The 19,863-nt window shown below is 41.8% G+C and overlaps 1 protein-coding gene and 1 pseudogene across 17 annotated transcripts in view; both read right to left on the bottom strand.

Moving 5' to 3' along the window:
- NCALD (neurocalcin delta) overlaps positions 1-19,863 on the bottom strand; it is a 438,366-nt gene that overhangs the window by 176,233 nt on the left and 242,270 nt on the right. The window lies entirely within an intron of this gene.
- PDCL3P2 (PDCL3 pseudogene 2) lies at positions 8,821-9,805 on the bottom strand (annotated as a pseudogene).

The raw sequence follows: 19,863 nt of genomic DNA on the forward strand, positions 1-19,863 counted from the left end.
CTCCCTGGGATGAGTGCTATGTGACTAAAGAGAAATTTTTCCAGCTTTCTCTGACAGCTCACTCCCTTTTAAAAAGGCATTATTAATAAAATCCATTTGTTAAGCACTTACTGTCTTCCAAGTACTCTGCTACAAACTTTTACATATTATTTCATTTAATCTTCACAACAACCCAAATGAATCAGGAGTTTCTGTCATCTTCAGAAGTGAAGGCCCAAGAAGAAAAGTCAAGTGTGTAAGTCCTCACAGCTCCTGAGGTTAAATAAATTATATTTAAAAGCCAAGGTTCTGAAATGAAATCCAAGCAAGTTGACCCCAGAGCCTGTTTCTCCACACCGTGTGCTCACCTCCTCAGAACTCCCACCCAGCTCCCAAACCTCCTCCTCACTCCATCACCTCTCATTCTCTTTCATCTGGGAATCATTCTCATGGTGCAAGGTGTGGTATAGAGGAAGATTGGAGCCCATCTCATCTGTGACTATTTTCTTATCAACCTTGGGGTTTTTCTTTGACCAACTAGATTTACCCACTCAATCCGGATCTTGGTTCTGTAATTGCAGGGATGAGGTTTCTTTCCATTTGCCAACTTGGCCTCTGCCAAAGTCTTGCTTTCAATTTTTAAAAAAGACTGTATCACCTCTATCACCTCCCCTTTCTTTTTGAAATGTTTTAAACCATGTTTCTCACTTTTTTTTTTTTAACCCAGGCTTCCTCTATCATCAACTGCCTTCTCCCACCAGCTAGGGGGATTTAGGCTGGCATTCCATTCTGTGGTTGGTATTCTTAAAATAACAGGGGATTGGAAATTTAGAGATGCTTCTGTGGGAGGGCAGGTCTCCATTCCTGCACTGAATGAAATTCATTTCCTTATTATTCCACATATTAATATCATATCAGGTAACCATTAAATGCTTTGAAAAACACAAAAGCACTTTGAGAGGCTAGAAAGCTATGGGTGAGAGTGGGGAGGACTAATTCAGACAAAGGGGTAGAGGAAGGGCTCTCTGAGGCAGTGACATTTGACAAAGATCTGGATGAAATGCAGGAGTGAGTTGTGTGACCATTGGGGGAAGACTTACTTGGCAAGAAACAGCAAACCAGGGTTGTGGTTCACTTAGGGAGAGGAGCCTTTAAAAAATGCTGATGCCTGCTTTGCATCCCTGAGCAACGAACTCAGAATTCCAAGGGGATGGGGCCTGGGCATTAGAGATTTTTTAAATCTCCCCATGTGATTCTAACATGCAACAGAACAGAGAACTAAATAAACTACATTAACCAACAATCAGAACAGCACCTTGTAATCAGATAGTATTACATACTTTCCAAAGCATTTACATGTCCTGTGTATGATTTCAATTAAGCTCAATCAATCTATAAGACACTTAAAGCAAGTCTACTTCCTGCTATACGGTGGCTCAAAGAACACAAAACTTTCTGCTTCAAGTCACCTGTGGAGTTGTGAGTTCCAGTTTCCTTTCAAGAGGCTAACTGTGTGCAAATGTGTCTACTCGACACACAAGGATATCAACAACCAACAACAAAGCAGGACCATGACCTACAAAAGCCACAGTGCACACAGTGCATGTGAGTGATGGAATGCCAGTGCTGATGAGAGCTGGTGGGATTAATTACGGATGGCTCCATGGAAAAGTAGAATCTTAAATGCCAACGGAGTAAAGGAGAGAGATCTGGAGAGAGAGAGGTGAGACAGGCATTTTAAGGTAACAACAAAACAACAAACAGGATCTTCATAAAGACTCGACAAGAAAAGCCATATTTTATATGACCTGATAGGATTGTTCCAATTTTCTTTCCTTTCTTTTTTTTTTTTTTTTCTGAGACGGAGTTTCCCTTTTCTTGCCCAGGCTGGAGTGCAATGGCACGATCTTGACTCACTGCAACCTCCGCCTCCTGGGTTAAAGCGATTCTTCTGTCTCAGCCTCCTGAGTAGCTGGAATTACAGGTGCCCAACACTACGCCCAGCTAGTTTTTGGTATTTTTAGTAGAGACGGGGTTTCACCATGTTGGCTAGGCTGGTCTAGAACTCCTGACCTCAGGTGATCCGCCCATCTCAGCCTCCCAAAGTGCTGGGATTACAGGTGTGAGCCACCACGCCCAGCTGGATTGTTCCAATTTTCTAGAAGGACAAAGAGTACTTGTAATCTTTATCTGTCTTAAGGACTCAACACAGATTTGTTCACGAGTTTATAACAGATTGGTTAGAATGATATTTTCATTATAATAAGTGCTCTCATCAGCAGATGGGACAGTTCAAGGACTCAACAAGAAGTAAGGGGGTTCTAGTTTCTCCCTGATCATGGACAGACATGCACACATGCACATCTAAGATTATGTGCATAAATATTCTACATCCAGAATAAGAGAGATTTTGAATGATGAAAACTCACGTTTCTAATTTCATTGTAGCCAAAGACATATTTATCATTATTCTCAATCAATTTTATACCAAGGAACCAATCAAATAAAATGGTTTGAATTCCCTTTCCTGTTGTGTTTGTTGGAGTTTGAGGCACAGAAGTCAAATATTTTCCCTGAGTTTGTGTTTAGGAGGACTCCAGGAGGGCTATTGCTAGCCTCTCTCCTCCCTGCCTCACTGTCCTAGGGGAGAAGGAGTGTTTTCTCTAATCAGTCCTTTGGGAATAGAAACTAGGAATGTGGAGCCTCAGCCCTTCGTCACTCAATTTTTCTCTTTGGGGTGTCAACTGCCTGCAGGAAACATGAACACTTACATGGTCCCAGTCTGTGCTTTAGGGAGGCAGAGTTTATACTGTGTGGAAATCCTCTGGGGTTCCCTTTCTCCTCTCTCTCTCTTTCTCTCCTCTCTCTTTCTGGGTGGCTGCAGTGGTAGTGTTTGTGCATATGATATTTCTTCCATTTAGTGTGAATTCACAGGTCATGCTCTCCAGTATGGTAGGTTTACTGGATCCTGGTGTAACTGAAATCAAGATTTTCTCCACCTACCCTCCTTTACTCAGTGTCATTGTATTTCTGCTATTTGTATTTATTATATTTGACAATAATAAATAACTGGTTTGGGGAATATCCTTGTGCCTAAAATACTTTTTTAGGAGCCACAGACTGTCTTATTTTTAATTTCAAGTGGATGGGGATGGTTCTATAATAATCTTAGGTCAATTATCAACTCTTCAGACGTATTCAAAAGTGATCCACTTGGGTGATCTTGTGTCTCACTCTACTTCCTAGTGCTCCAGTACTTGAGAGAACTACATCCATTCCAGGATGATAGCCAGGCTAGAGTTGTTGAAGGAGCCTCAGCTGTACTCAGGCACAAGAGTGTCCATCAGTCTAGCTGAGTCTACTCATATCAAAGTCTCCATTAACTTCCATGTTGCTAAAGCCAATGGTCAATTCTCAGCCTCACCTCCCAGCATCATTTGACACAGCTGTTCAGTACCTTCACAAAATGATTTCTTCTTCCTACCTTCCCAAATGCTTGTTCTCATTTTCCTTTGCTGGTTCCCCCTCATCCTCCTGATCTCTACATTGGAGTCATCCAGGGCTTAGGTCTAGAAACTCTTCTTTTTTCTGTCCACACATACTTTCCAGGTGATCTTATCCAGTCCGATGGCTTTAGATAAAATCTACATGCTGACAATCACCAAATTTATATCTCCAGTCTGGCTCCTCTCCCCTGAACTGCAGATCTATACCTTCAAATACCTACTCATCTACTTTGCATGTCTAATAGATGTTTAGGACTTAATATGTCCCCAGATTGTCCCTTGATCTTTCCTTCAAACTCTGTTTCCTTCCCAGTCATTCCTATTCTCATAACGGCAATTCCATTCTGGTTGTTTAAACCAAAACCATGGTGCTATTCATGACTTCTCTTCTCCTTACACCCCAGCCAGATACATGAGAAAATCCTGTTATATGAACTATCAAAACTGATCCAGAATCCAACCTCTTCTCATTACCACCATTTCTACCTCCAAATTTTAACACTAACAGCCATTCCCAGGGGGTATTACGACGGCCTCCTAACTGGTGTCGCTAGTTCTGTCCTTACCCTCTTTAGCCTCTTCAGAATGCGGCAGCCAGAGAGGTCTGACTTAAAGAAGTCAGAGCATGTCACTTCTCTGCTCAAGATCTTTCAAGCACTCCCATCCTACTCAGAGTACATGCCAGAGTTCTTATCCTTAAGAACCCTCTATGCTCTGGCTCCCTTCTCTGCTCTGACCACCACCTTCTACTATCCCCCATCTCTGTTCTCTCTGCTCCAGCCACTCTGGCCTTCCACCGTTCCTCAAGCACACCAGGCCACACCCAACACAGGCCTTTGTACTTGGCACTCCCTCGTCCTGGCATGGTCTCCCACCAAGTATCTGCCAGGCTACCTCCCTCATTTCCTTCAGGCTTTTTCTCAAAAGTCACCTTCTCAATGGAACTATCCTTGGCCATTCTATCTAAAATTTCAAACCGCCCCTACCTTCAATTTTCCTAGTTTTTTTCCCCTTAGCAATCATCACTACCTAAAATACTACATATTTTACTTGCTTATGTTGTTCCCTACCTAAATATCAACTCCATAAGGACATGGTTGCCTCTTATTCACCGCTTTCCCCCCAGGACCTAGCACAGTGCCTGGTGCACAGTAGAAGCTCCATAAATAATTGTCAAATGACTAAATGATGATGAAGCAACTTCTTAGAAATTTCTGAAGTAATTTTGAACTTCAGCTTTGTGACTGGAAATTTGATTCCTTTGGATTTTTAGCTCCACAGAAAAGCTTCCAATTTTGGACTTTAATTCCTCTGGACTTTAACTTTGGAATTTTCACTGGCAAGGGGATTTAATTTGTAGGCTTTATTTTTTATCCGTGAAATTTATCATGGAAAAGGGTTTATACAAATTGAAGGCATTGCCATATCGTGGACATTTTATTAATATTTATCTTAAAGTTGTCATGTTATCTCCCTGCTGAATCTCTGATGAGCCTACTGAAAAATGTGACATAATTAGGGATGAATTTTTCGGCTTTGGGTAATTTACTTAATGCACCATCTCTGAATTTGACATTGAAGTTCATTGTTCACTCATTCAATAAAATGTCATCTATGCCTAGGTATGCTGTGCTCATTCATTTGAACCAGGGGTCAGTTGCAAATTGAAGGGCTAAGAGCCATATCTGGTCCCCGCCCCCCGCCAACCTTTTTTTTGGCTTGCACATTGTTTAAAACAAAATGAAAATAGGTTTTTAGTTTTGCTAAGATGTAGCAACACTGGGCCCCTTTCCCTGGCACTGTATTTCTACTGCCTCCTTTATTATGGACTGACAGTCTCCATTTGACCACAGCCCACCTCCAGGCATTCAATCATGCTGCTTGCCTGGCTGTTGGAGGAACACTGCTTGTAGACGCCAGCATCTGGCCCCTGCTCTGGGCCTCTAGACTTAGAGGGCCCCACTTTTGCCTTTTTTTGTGTGTGCTCCTCCTCATGCATCAAGGAGTCTGAGAGCCCTGTGCCCACACTGAGCTCGCACTGACCTTCTCCTAAACCCTGACAGCCTTCCAGGTACCAGGGATCCCGGAATTCCCTGTTCAATTGGTCTGAGCTGAAGCAGGAGAATAGGGTCGGAAGGCAGGACACCTAAGGCTGATTCACGCTGACTTCCTAGAACTAAATCAAAAGGAAAACCCCAACTTGTCACACCTAAGTAACAAAAGGACCAAAGGTTACTCCCTTTGCAAACCTCCCCCATTTCTGCCTGGCAGATGGAAAGTTGAAAGTACCTTTGATTAGTTGCTTTCTGCAACCAATCAGATGTTTGCATAGGAGCATAATTTTGTGACTTCACTTCAGCCTCTGATTGGTTGCAGAAGGCAACTCCTTGACGCATGAGGAGAAGCACAGACCAAAAACAAGGCTTTCTGCAACCAACCAGACTGATCACAGGCCACTACTTCATTTGCATGGGGTATATGCCAAGAGCTCGATGGAAAACCTCTAGAGGGTATTTGGACCTCAGAAGATCCTGTAACCAGGGTCCTTGAGCCACTGCATGGCCCGCTCCCACTCTGTGGAGTATACTTTCATTTTCAATAAATCTCTGCTTTCATTGCTTCATTCTTTCATTGCTTTGCTGTGTATTTTGTCTAATTCTTTGTTCAAAATGCCAAGAACCTGGACAAATTGCAGTCAAGACCCTCTGCTGGTAACAGAGCCACTCCTAGGACCTGTGTGAGCCCTTGCCTGGGGAGGTCCTCCCAAGGGCAGACAAAACAGTTCTAGTGTAGGGTGCAGTGATGGTAAAGGATGGAGCTGTAACAATGTGGGCCTGGAGAGTTCACACATGTGGTAGGCCTCCCAAAGACATCCACATCCTAGTTCCCAGGGCCTATGAATATGTTACCTTCTATGGTAAGGACACTTTACAAATGTGATTAAGTTAAGGATCTCAGGATGGGAAGTTTATCCTGGATGATCTGGACAGGCCCAATGTAATTACAAGAATCTTTCAAGAGAGAGGGAGGAGGATCAGAGTCAGGAGTAGGAGATGTGGTGATGGAAGTAAGAGGTTGGAGTGATGAGATAAAGGGGCTCTGAGCTAAGGAATGTAGGCAGCCTGGAGCAGAGGGAAAAAGCAAGGGAAGACATTCTCCCCATAGGGCATCCAGAAGGAATGCAGCCCTGCTGGGACCTTGATTTTAGACTCTGATCTTCAGAACCACAAGATAATAAATTGGCATGGTTTTAGGCCACTATATTTGTGGTTAATTTGTTACAGCAGCTACAGAAAACTAATACAGCTTGATTGCATGGGAGTCCTGCCACAAAGAGCCAGGGATGGGAAGGGAAGACAAGGTGCAGGGCTGCAGGTTCCATCTGCCTCTTGCCTCGGGCACCCTAAAATATTAATTGATAACAATAAAAGCTCAAAGTACTGTTTTAATAGAAGACTTAAACCAAAGTCTACACATGTATACTAATTTTTAAGTGTCACGTCTGTGCAATGACCAAAATTGTAGGTATTGTTAGCATAATGGCATTTAATTAATCCTCATATTTATGTATTTGTTATAAAATCATTCAGGAGTGTGTTACAAAGAATAATTTAATCCAATCATGATAAACTAGATGCAAGCAAGAAAAATATTTTATTGGGGCTTGATTTCATGTATCTTTTTGACAAGCTTCAAACCAAATTTCTGTCTCAAATTTCTCAAATACTTACATGTGTTTTCTGTTCCCAGGAAACAGACACCATAATATTTTATTTTACAGTTTGAAAATTGAGGAAATTAAAAACAGAAAATACACTAGTTCATGAGCATGGGCACAATACTAACTCACCAGACGAAGAGGGGACTCAATTAGGTGTTGTGTTCTTTCCAACTCAGCCTCCCATCACTCTCTTTACTTCACATACTTAAAAATTTCCCATCACAAATATAATGACTTCAATAGTCTAGATATAAAGAAAAATGACTTTTTTCCTTACTAAAGAGCAGTGTTAGAAACGAGTATTTCAGAGAATGGACAGAACAAATACCTAATAAGAAAACCTTTTCCCATAGTTTCTGTCTTATCTTAGGGGATTCTGTTAAAGTTTGATTTGGCTGTACAGGTACTCACCAAGATCCCTTTGTTCACATAAAGTTCATATGAAACAAATAAACAAGAATAAAAATCACATAAAAGAAAGTGCACTTAATAATCTTTTTTTTGTTGTTCTGGTGATTTAAGTTGTTACTTTGTTTGAACCATTTCAGGAACCAGGCAAGGGTAGCAAAGTGGGCTGTGAAACACTTTAACTCAGTGGCCCACACCCATGCAGTGAATTCCCTTCTGGAAGAGGCCAACTCATCACTGCTGCTGCTGAGACTCATGTATTCTACACAAAGGTCTGACTTACTCAAAGCATTGACATAGTCTTGAAAATTCTGAAAAGTGAAAGATGGTCTATTTGTTTTGTTTTACTGGGGGCAAAGATCTGCAGAAATAGGATTTGGCCCACAGGTCAGCCTCTACAGAGACTCGAGAATAGAGAAGAGAAAATAAAGAGGGAATGAGGAAACAAACAGTATCTACCAAAAAGGTTCAAAAAGGGTTCAAGGGACTATGCTCTACCACCGCCCCCACCCCCCCCCCCCAAAAAAAGAGAGAACGTTCATGAGTTATCTAAAGAACATCTGGTCGAAATTGACCTGAAAAAATGTAATTTTAGATGAATGTTCTCTCAAGTCTGGAAAGAAACCAAAACCTTATTATAAATATCCTAGTTGAGGTTCTAGAAAAACAGTGCATGAAACTGCAATTCATGTGCTCTGAGCGCAATTTAATTCTTAGGTTTTTCCTAAATTCATCCCAGGATACAGTAATTGATAGTATTCCTGGCGCAGCTTAACCAAGAGCTTCTTGTCTTTTGGCTGAATCTGTCCTATCTGCTGTATGGACCATACCTAGTTTCCTCAGAGCCTCCCAGTTCCTGCCCCCTTTTGGAGAGGATGGTAATGATATCAGCACTCCCTCTTAATGGGCACTATTTTTAAATAGAAAAATCTGGAAAGACACAAAACAATACAGAAGTTTTTTTCCAATCAGCCTTTGTGCAGCTGACTTGGCTCCTAACATACCTCCCTCCTCCTAATCAAAATTCTAGATTGGAACTCATCGGCTTTGACAGGGGCCCAGCACAATACATGCTAGAACCCAACACAGTTCCCCTCAACAGGGCTGGGACCATCTGCAGGCACTTACTTCAGCTGTGTGCCAGGGGAGATGTTCCCAAACAGAGATATTTTAATCCTCTGGAATTCAGATTTTCTTTTTTTTTTTTTTGCCATACCAATAGCTGGTTTTAATTTTTTTAGAGGAAATACTATAGTTTAAAAAAAGAGTTCCAAAATATTTAACAGAATTTCCAGCAATTATTATTTCTAAAATGTAAAGATTTGAAACATAATTTATACAAAACTAAAAACCAGAAGGATTCATTCTTGCTTTTCCTTTTCTTAAAGAAATCCAGACAATTTGTCACAAGAAAGTTCAGCATGTGATAGCAGCTGCAGCCTCAGTCACCCTTGGAATCGCTGTCCCTCCTCATGGGGACAGAGCTCTGCACTGAAGACAGCAATACACCTTCAATCGGCTTCTTAGGGTTTTCCTCCAAGTCCGTCTTAACTGCTCTAGATTCAGACAGTTTCCACCCCAACTCATCTCTGGTCAGGTTCATGCCGCCAAACACCAGAGGACCGATCAACTGAGCCTTGATGTCTCCTTCCAAGTAAACAAATACCATGGGCAGATTCCTATCAGGATAATTGGGTATGCAGGTGGTTGAATTGGCTTTGATAAATTTGACATCAGGAAACTTCCTGGCAAGTCCACTGAGGTGCTGATTTATCAGGGCACAGAGGGGAATTCCTCGTTTGCAAAGGTGCAAGATGACCCACAAGCCCTCACTGGCTTTGGTAACTTCTTGAACATAATACTTCCCTGAAATCTCCAAAACTTCTCCAAATTTATTCTTCAGTTTAATTGCTTTCCCCTCAGCGAGTCTCTGCCATCTGTACATTTCAATAGCATGTTCATCCTCCTCATTAAACTCGTCTTCATGATCCTCCAGCTCTTCCAAAGTCATATCTTCGTATGTTGTCACCACTGACTGCTGAAGGATGTGCTGCTCCTCTTCTGCCTTCTCTTCTGATTCTTTTATACTTTCCTTGGTGGGTAAGATGCCCTTCTTGTCTAAGATGTCATTCCACTCAGTGTCTGTGTTGGGGTCCTGCATCTTGTTTCCAATCGCTCAAGCCAATCGTGCTGGGGAATTCAGATTTTCTAAAAACATGTTTACAATTTAAATTTGGCTGACCCTTGCAGATATGTGGGCCTAAGTCAATCAAATCTATACCATGATAAAGGCTAAGTTCCTTCTCTTTCTTAATTAAGTATGAAAAGATGCTAGAGGAAGTCTACACTCATTTCTAACTCTTTCTCTCTGGTAGCCTTAGATCCACCTTTCATGCCAAAACTATATGTCATGGAGGAGCTAACCTGTTTAGAGCATGATCCCAATAGCAGGAAGTGTATTGAAGAATATCATACTTTGGGCCTCCAAGCTGAGCCCCTCTGTGTATCGAATCAGTTCTCACATCATATGAGAGAGAGACTCCGAAAGTCCAAAATGAGGAGGAAATGAGGATCTCTGCAAAGTCTCTTACCTTCCACTAATGCTTTGCTTCTGCAAGCAACTGCATTTCTCTGCAGTAGATTTCCCCACCACTCCTCTCACTTTTCTGCTGCTTTATTTTATTTCAGTTAATTGCTCTTTCCCTTCAGCGTGTTCCTTTGCCATTGACTTCTGTTTTTTAAGCCAGCAAAATACCTTTCTTTCTTCTTTCCAGCAGCCCTTGGCCTCTTGGGAAGGCTTAGTCATTTCTGCACTACATTCCAAATCAAAATAAAGTGAACAATCTCCAATGCCTTGGAAAGGGCTCCCTCAGATTTTCATTGAGAATGGCTTTTTCTTTCCTCCCAAGGTCTAAGATCACTGGAAGAAGGACACTCAAGGCGGTGAAAGCTCCAGAGCTCTGTCCCTCACCTTCATGGTGATGCTTCCCAAAGTGTGCAAGGCAAACCATTGGAATTACTCAAGACAGTTTTAGTGGTGCATAGTTATGGCGGATTATGGTTGTGTATTTATTTTCATGTGCTTTAGAAAAAAATATAGCTGGCATATCCAATTTCAAAGCTATTCACAGCTATAACTGCTGCTTAGGGCAAATGCAAGGTAAAATATAAAGAAGGAGTGGTTTAAAGAAAGACATTAAGTAAAAAATAATATAGATAGAATGTGATATAGTAAAAATCATGGAGATGGGACCTGAATGACAAAAGCCTGGGAAATGCTGCTTGATGGAAATGACTTGGACCTAGGAAGAATGGGACATGATGTCAGTTCTGGCTATACTGCCGCCCCCATTGCAAAGCCCTGAGCTTGGGGTAGATGGTGGGAAAGCAGCTGTTAGCCTATGAATCACCAGGCTAAGATTCACAATTTCACACCAGGGACCAAAAATACTCAGAAATGTTTCTGAATGGATAAATCAACTTCATATTATGCTACAACCAAGGATAGCATTGCCATTAAATTTACAATTAGAAGCACCCTGATCCAAAATTCTTTCAGTGTGGAGGCTAAAGCCTACAAAGGTCACATGATTTGGCCCAGTTTCACCCCAGGAAATAGTAGCAGAACTAGAACTTAGACCTCAAACATGATTCCTTCTAAATCTTTCTACATTTTGCTGCTAGATGTATTTCATATGCCCCAACAGTCTTATCTACTCCTGAATATATCTAGCTAGATTTCACAGACTAGTAGGAGATAAAATCAGAGAGGTAACTTGGGGTGGGGGAGATTGTGTCAGAACTTGAAGGCCCGTTTGAGGACTTTCAGGAGGTTCAGCCCAAAGGTGGAGCTGATAGCTGTATCTAGACACTAGAGAATTAGCAGTAAACAAAAGAGACAACAAACTTTTCCATTGTGAAGGTTTACATTTTAATGGAGGAGAAAATCTAGAATCTGAAATTGCAAATCACCTATGTCTAAATATCAAATAAGTAATGGCCCACGATAATAGGATCCACACTGGGAAGGGTTTCCATGGGTTATCTGGCCAGCTGGGCTGTGATGGCCTCTTTCAGCATTTCCCACACTTCTGCTATATCCCAACAACCAAAGGCCCCCAGTCGAACAGCTGCGTTTTTCTTAATCAAAAAAAAATTTTTTTTTCTGAGACAGGGTCTCCCTCTGTTGCCCAGGCTGGAGTGTAGTGGCACAATCATACCTCACTGTAACCTCCAACTCTTGGGCTCAAGTGATCCTCCTGAACAGCAAGGACTACAGGTGTGCACCACCACATCCAGCTAATTTTAAAAAATTTTTTTGTAGAGACGAGGTCTTACTATGTTGCCCAGGTTGGTCTCAAATTCCTGGCCTCAAGTGATCCTCTTGCCTCAGCCTCCCAAAGCACTGGGAATAGAGGTATGAGCCACTGTGCCCAGCGTCTTACCCAATTTTTAACTCCTCTCCTCTTCCTAAGTAGAACAGGAGGGAGGGGTATAAGCGGAAAAAACAAACTGGCCAGAAAGAGAAAGGAGAGGAATCAATGGAAACAATGATTCTCCTACAAAGTATTTTAAGTCCTGAGCTATGCAAGACTAAGTATGTTACCTATGTTAATATTTTATTATTACATCATTAAATTGACAACATAACTGCATAATAATAATGACTAGCCAGTACTGAGAGTTTGCTATGTGCCGGGAAGTAGTCTAGACAGTCTGACCAACTTGATCTCACTTATTCTTTACCACAACACTATAACACAAGTACTATTATTTTTCATTTCACAGATGAAGAACTGGATGATCAGAGAGGTAAAGTCATTTGTTCCACATCCCACAGCCAGTAAATGGCAGAGTCCAGACACAGATGTCAGGATGCTGGACTCCAAAGTCCTGGCTCTTCATCCTGTTCCGGGAGCTCCCCTCCTCAACAGGAGGCAACAGCTAGCTCAGGCTGTCCAGCCAATGCACCATTCACACAGGATTTCCCTCCTTGCAAGTATTCTTCTCAAGAATAGGCCCCCTCACTGACCCTGTCCCTTTCATCACTTCATTGTCCTTTTTTCTAACCTCTCTGCTCGGTGCTCCGTGTCCCCTGGTTACTGGGGTAACAGATATCTCGATGGTTTTTGCTAGATTTCCATGACCATTGTGGTCTGTCTCTCTTTCCTAGCACTTCTCAGCCTTTTAATTCTCTCCTCATTATTGAAGCCAGCATGGAGCAATTTTTCAAAACGTCCAATTAGCAAGTGCACAGAAGGAACTGGATCCATAATTAATTAATGATTCTAAGACGCAACAAAGCAAAAGCAAAGCCAAGGACGTGGAAGGCACCAAAAACCGAAACTGCATGAGGAAGATGTCCACATTCAGGACCCCTCCCTGGGAAGGACAAAGAATTAAACAAGCTGCTCACTGATTCAAATCCCTAAAGAACCTCCACATGTCCTGGAATTGAAAAGACATCAATCACTGGATAACAATCCCAAGTGGAACATCTCTCCTCTCCAGGATGAATGGCTGCCTCTGTTGTAGTAGTGAACTGATTCTTTCTCTATTGTTTTTATGAGAGAAGCTTGGCCTCTCTTTCCTCTCAAAATTGTTCAAATCTTTTAGAGACAGTCTTTCTAGCTAGATGGTCCTAACCTCTGGGATTTCTTGCTCTTCCCCAGGCAGAAGTCAAGTTAGAATACCAGGATTTAAGAGGTCAAGCTAGGATGACTGTGGAGAAAGAAAAAGGGAAAATAGTAGAGGAATGCCCAGATTCTCAGATGTATAGTTGCTATTCTAATTTGGAGAAGAAAGGAGGGCTTGGATGGGAGTCCACCCAGATCAAATTTTCTCAGACATCAACTCATTCTCCAACACACAGGGTGAAGCATAAATGACAAGGCAGTGCTAGCACAGTTATTAGTCAAAGTGCTGTCTTTTCATTAGGAGGAAATAGGGATTATGTTTGCTTTTGATTATTATGAACACTAGTTGCTGCCTGAAAGACTGGAGACAACAAAACAAATAGCCTGAACAGTATTATAGCAAGTTCCTGCATCTCACGGGACATCATGATATACTTGCTGGTAGTGAAAATTAGAAGACTTATATAGACCATGACAGTTGTAGGCATCCTTTACTACTTTTTCTTACCTGAAGCCTAATTTCCTTTTGGTTCTATATTGAGCCAATGCCAGCTTTCAGGGCTGATCTCTGTACTTAAGGGAGTGTATCTAAACCCACTCTGCCAAGCCACAGACTAAGCATTTTGCTTAATACCATGGCAATGGATACAAGTAATGTTAGATGAGAAAGAAAATAAAATGTCACCAGGACATTTACAAGACATAGTACTTATTGCTGCTGCTGCTCAAATAAAATAATAGTAAATACTGTTATGCATGTTGCTAAGCAATGTTGCATTTTCAGTCCTTAATAACTGCATTAGTAACACAAGATGGGAAAAACTACATTTTGATACCAATGAGACGTTTTGCTTTCTTTGAATAATCAGCCTCAGCAACCGATGACTTCCAGTACAAAGCAAAAGTGGTTATCTTTTCTCCCCTGGCTAGGATATATATGAGAACTCAGTGGTAAATTTCCTATTGGAAAGACTAAGGGTTCTCTCTGCTAACCCACTCCCCCACAAAGTCTTTAAGTCTTAAGTAAAAAATAAACGAATTAATAAATAACATTCTTTCCCTGAAATGTCTCCTCTCAGCTATTGTATATGTAGCAAGTGCTAGAAACCTGTGAATTTTAAACACAGTTAAAGATTTGAAGTAAAACGCATCTACAAATATATATCCTTCTGATTCAAAGATAATACTGATTTAAAGGATCTTATGTGAGGATAATCAACATTGCAGCAGTCCCAGATTCCGTATTAATAACAACCCTCTGGTTTACAGATACTAGAAGGTTGCTTAGGGTGAGCTGCTAACTAATGACTTCTTGTACCTCTCCCCAGGTTACCCAGCATTCCCTGACTACCCAGAATTCCCAATTACCCAGCATTCCCCTATTATCCAGCATTCCTAGTTACCCAGCATTCCCTGGTTCCTAGCATTTCCCCATTTATCCAGCATTCCTGGCTACCCAGCATTCCCCAGTCATTCTGCATTTCTCAGCTACTACCTAAGCATTAGTCAGAGATAGTCTGCAAGAAAATAACCTTTTCAACAGTATTTTACCAGTGGAATTCTGGAAGCCTTCATCTCCTTACAGGAACAGTATTGCATAAAAGATACTATGTATGCTATAACATGGACCCTGGAGCCAGACTCCCTAGGAGAAATCCTGACTATACAATTTCCCATTTAAGTGACTTTGGGCAAATGAATGTCTTTTTGCCCCTTTTTTTCTCACCTGTTACTGCAATGATTAAATAAGTTGATATATATAAAGTACTTAGAGCAGTGCCTCCCTCTGGTTCTGGGGAAGAGCTGTTTGAACACCTCCCCATCAAAACAAGCAAATACTGCAGTTAGCAAAGGAGTAAAAAAGCTGACTCCAGAATGTACCCTTAGGATCTGTATTTGTATTACGTATTTGTATAATGCTTTTATATTTCAGAGGAAGCCACTGATCTAATGAAGCTAGAAAATACTAAATTTTGAACTCCCATAACATCAAACTGTTACTAATTATGGTTCTGGGCACATGCTGTATGTCCCAGAAATAACAAATGTTCCACGGAAAACTAAGTGGCCAAGGGTGGGAAAAACATATAGTAAATGTCCTCGTTTTTTCTTGGCTGTTAACATTAATATAATGAAGCATTCAGTGAAAACTATGAACATTCAACTGCAACTTCCTACCACTTCAGAAGACATTCTTGAACCACTGAAAGTGAGAGCTGTTATGTTCAAACAGCACTGTCATGTAATTTATTAAGAATCTTACATTTTAAACTTTGAAAAATGTTACTCTGTCCCATAGAAATTACATTGGTAGATGCTAAACTAACTCCATGTGATTCTCATTTTCAGAAACACAATTTCAGACTGTTCAAGAGTTTCAATGTTTCTCCCTGAGCTGCATAATAGAAAGCCATTTGGGTTTTAAATATAATTTTGTTTTTTACAGGGGTTCCCTTGTACAAGGAACACATTTCTCTCATACAGTCTTGCTATTTAAGAGGCTAATTGTTTTAGATTTCTTTTAAGCTTCATTTTACTTAAGTGAACTTGAAGAGAATTTTTACATCTAGTGAAAGAAAATTAAATTATTAATCAAGTGATCTTTACTTATAAGGAGGTCATACCAGCACCAAGAAGCTAACATTATTTTTTTAGACTTTGTATTAAAGAGCATGTATTTTAAAAATAAATCAGACTGATGATCCCATTTATTCTTATTTTCTGTTATAAGTAAAGTATGATGATCCCACAGGTGCTAAACAGTGATCAAGATCTAATCCAAGCTACTTTGGAGGCAGAAACTGCTACTGACAGAACCTCTGCATGTAATCAATGTGCTGTTATGCGACGGTCAATGCCATGTCCTATGATTACGATGATGAAAAAAAGCAGCCCTAGGTTCTGTCCTCATGGAACTTAGAGTCTAAGACAGCACCACTTAAAATGTGGTCTACGGATCAGTCTTATCAGACTTCAATAATGCAAATACAGATATTGCAAGTAGTTGTCAATAAACTTCTACAGGAGCTGGACATTGCCACAGCATCCAAATGTGTAATCAAGTAAACTCATCTCATTGAATGGGGTATAGAATGGTTTGGAGACTGCCAAACTTCCACGGTGAGTTTCCTGGGGTAGATTCTAAGTACTGGTGTGTCCGGAATTGGTGGGTTCTTGGTCTCACTGACTTCAAGAATAAGGCCGTGGACCCTCATGGTGTTACAATTCCTAAAGATGGTGTGTCTGGAGTTTGTCCCTTCTGATGTTCAGACGTGTTCAGAGTTTGGTCCTTCTGCTGGGTTCGTGGTCTCACTGACTTCAGCAGTGAAGCTGCAGACCTTCGCGGGGAGTATTACAGCTCTTAAGGCCGCCAGTCTGGAGTCGTTCATTTCTCCCAGTGGCTTCGTGGTCTCGCTGGCCTCAAAAGTGAGGCTGCAGACCTTCACTGTGAGTGTTACAGCTCATAAAGACAGTACAGACCCAAAGAGCAAGCAACAGCAAGAGCTGCAAAAGGGAAAAACACAAAACCACCACTGTGTGGTGGGACCTCAACGGGTTACAACGGCTAGCTGGGACAGCCTGCTTTTATTCCCTTACCTGGCCCCACCCACATCCTGTTGATTGGTCCATTTTACAGAGAGCTGATTGGTCTGTTTTACAGAGCACTCATTGGTCCGTTTTGACAGGGTGCTGATTGGTGCATTTACAATCCCTGAGCTAGACACAAAAGTTTTCCAAGTCCCCACTAGATTAGCTAGACACAGAGCACTGATTGGTGCATTCACAAACCTTGAGCTAGACACAGGCTGCTGACTGGTGCATTTACAATCCTCCAACTAGACATAAAAGTCCTCCAAGTCCCCACCCAACTCAGGAAACCAGCTGGCTTCCTCTGGTGGATCACCCTGCTAGGGCCGCAGGGCAGAGCTGCCTGCCAGTCCTGTGCCGTGTGCCTGCACTCCTCAGCCCTTGGGCGGTGGATGGGACTGGGCGCCGTGGAGCAGAGGGCTGCGCTAGTCTGGGAGGCTGGGGCCTTGCAGGAGCCCATGGTGTGGGGGGGAGGGGGGGCGGTGAGGGAGGCTGGGGCATGGTGGGCTGCAGGTCCCGAGCCCTGCCCTGCTGGGAGGTAGCTGAGGCCCGGCGAGAATTCGAGAGCAGCGCTGGTGGGCCGGCACTGCTGTGGGACCTGGCGCACCCTCCACAGCTGCTGGCCCTGGTGCTAAGCCCCTTACTGCCCGGGGCCAGCAGCACTGGCCAGCCGCTCGGAGTGCGGGGCCCACTGAGCCCGAGCCCACGCCCACCCAGAACTCATGCTGGCCCACGATCGCCAGGTGCAGCAGCCCCGGTTCCCACTGGCGCCTCTCCCTCCACACCTCCCTGCAAGCAGAGGGAGCTGGCTCTGGCCTTGGCCAGCCCGGAGAGGGGCCCCCACAGCGCAGTGGCGGACTGAAGGGCTCCTGGAGCATGGCCAGAGCGGAGGCCGAGGCCAAGGAGGCGCTGAGAGTGAGTGAGGGCTGTGAGGGCTGCCAGCACGCTGTCACCTCTCACTGGTAGTCACAGACAGGACACCTATTGACTTGTGATGAATTGGAAAGTTTTTCAAAAATTGAATTCTCCCCCAGATAGTGTGAAAAGCACTAGTCTAGTGCTTCAAAGCATTATACAAAAAAAAGAAAGTTTAATTCCAACTAAGAAAATTTGAGAATGTTTTGTGAAATAAATGATTAAGAGTGGATTAGAATTTGAGGGGTAGAAATCACAACATGAGAAGTGCTATGGAGGCAGAAAAGTGCAAAGATGACCCGGGCCACCTCCTTCATTATGGCTGGAATAAGATATGGGGACAAGGCAAAGGGAGGTAATGGAGATAAATGTGAAAAGATTGATTGAAGCCAGTTACTAGAGGGCCTCGAATGTCATGAAAAGGACTTAGAACTTTATTTTTGAGATAATCAGAAGTCCTTAATATTTCTGAACAGCATCACGACACAAAAGAAACTCTATTTTACAAATAATATTGGCTCATTTGAACTACATGTGACACTTTAAGGCAGGAAGCCTTTAAGTGAGGTAAAAGATAACAGTAAAAAGGAATTTCACTTTCATAAAACCACCTAACGAAATATCTATTAAAATAAAAAAATACAAATAAAAAGGAATTTTATTTAAAAATAATCTCTTTAATGGTGTCATATATTACTACATGTCTAAGTACATTTTTGCAATTTGAAGTCTTCACTGCACCATAGCACAGTAAAATACCAGTTTAGAAGATCTAATCATGTATGATTGAAGTAATTTTGAAATACCATTTCTTAGCTTTACAGTGACAGAACACATTCTTCCCATTTTCAGGAACTTTGATTAAACCGCCGATAATATGGGAACATTAACCAGTATACTATTATAATAAATTACACTAAAATGTCAAACACCATCACCAAAGGACACAAGAGCAGCACTTTTTTTCTCTCTGTTATTCTCAGCTTCCTATAAAACTAGAATTGATTTCATTAAATGTGCCTCATTTATGTCTCATTTAAGTTTGGTGCCAAGGACCAAAAGGCCCTTAATTCTTGCAGCTGACTGAAGTGGAGTCTTTGTGGCATTAAGACTCTCATAAATGTATCTTCTTAAGAAACAATTAAACCACTAAGTTTTAAACTTTGAGGGTAAAATTTTCTAAGGCTTTAACAAATAAAACAAGGCTCCCAGAAAAACATATTATCACGTTAGAATTTCACATGCTTGGCTGAGTAAATATCTAATTATTTCATCTTATAATTCTGGTTTCATAATATCATCTTCAATTTGGATGTGAGAATTATAGAACTGCAAAGATACCATCCTGTTACAGCTACACATTTAGAATTGCACACATTTGTGATACAACTACAATACAAGGCTAAAACAGAGCAGTGTGAGTCATTGATTAAGATGCACTAAAGCAGGGGTGCTCAACTGAGGGTGATATTTGCCCTTCCCAGGAGACATTTGGCAATGTCTTCAGATGGTTGTCATGACTGGGGAATATACTACAGGCACCAGGATACTGCAATACATTCTATAGTGTGCAAGACACTCCCTTCCAGAAGAATTATCTGGTTCAAAATGACAATAGTGCTATGTTGAAAAAAACATACTGAAGGATCACGCTAACAACATGTCCATCATTCCTCCCAATTCTAAGATTCTTGGCATATGCTATGGTCTCAATGTTTGTGTCTGCCTCCCTCCCCACATTCATATGTTGAAGTCCTAACCCCCAAGGTGATTATATTAGGAGGTGGAGTTTGGGGCAGCTGATTAGGACATGAAGGTGGATTTAGTGTACTCATAAAAGAGACCCCAGGGTCTCTTTTCCCCTTCCACCATAGGAGGATACAGCGAGAAGGCACCATCTACGAACCAGGAAATAGGACCTCGACAGACACCGAATCTGCCAGCACCTTAATCTTGGACTTCCCGACCTCAAGAACTGTAGGAAATAAATTTCTGTTGTTTATAAGCCACCCAGTTTATGATATTTTGTTATAGCAGCCGAAGCAGACTAAGACAGCATATGTAGAAATAATCACTTTGATTCATACAGTAGGAAAGTCAGAAACAAGGA

The sequence above is a fragment of the Homo sapiens genome, chromosome 8 (assembly GCF_000001405.40).
Source record: "Homo sapiens chromosome 8, GRCh38.p14 Primary Assembly".
Taxonomy (NCBI): Eukaryota; Metazoa; Chordata; class Mammalia; order Primates; family Hominidae; genus Homo; species Homo sapiens.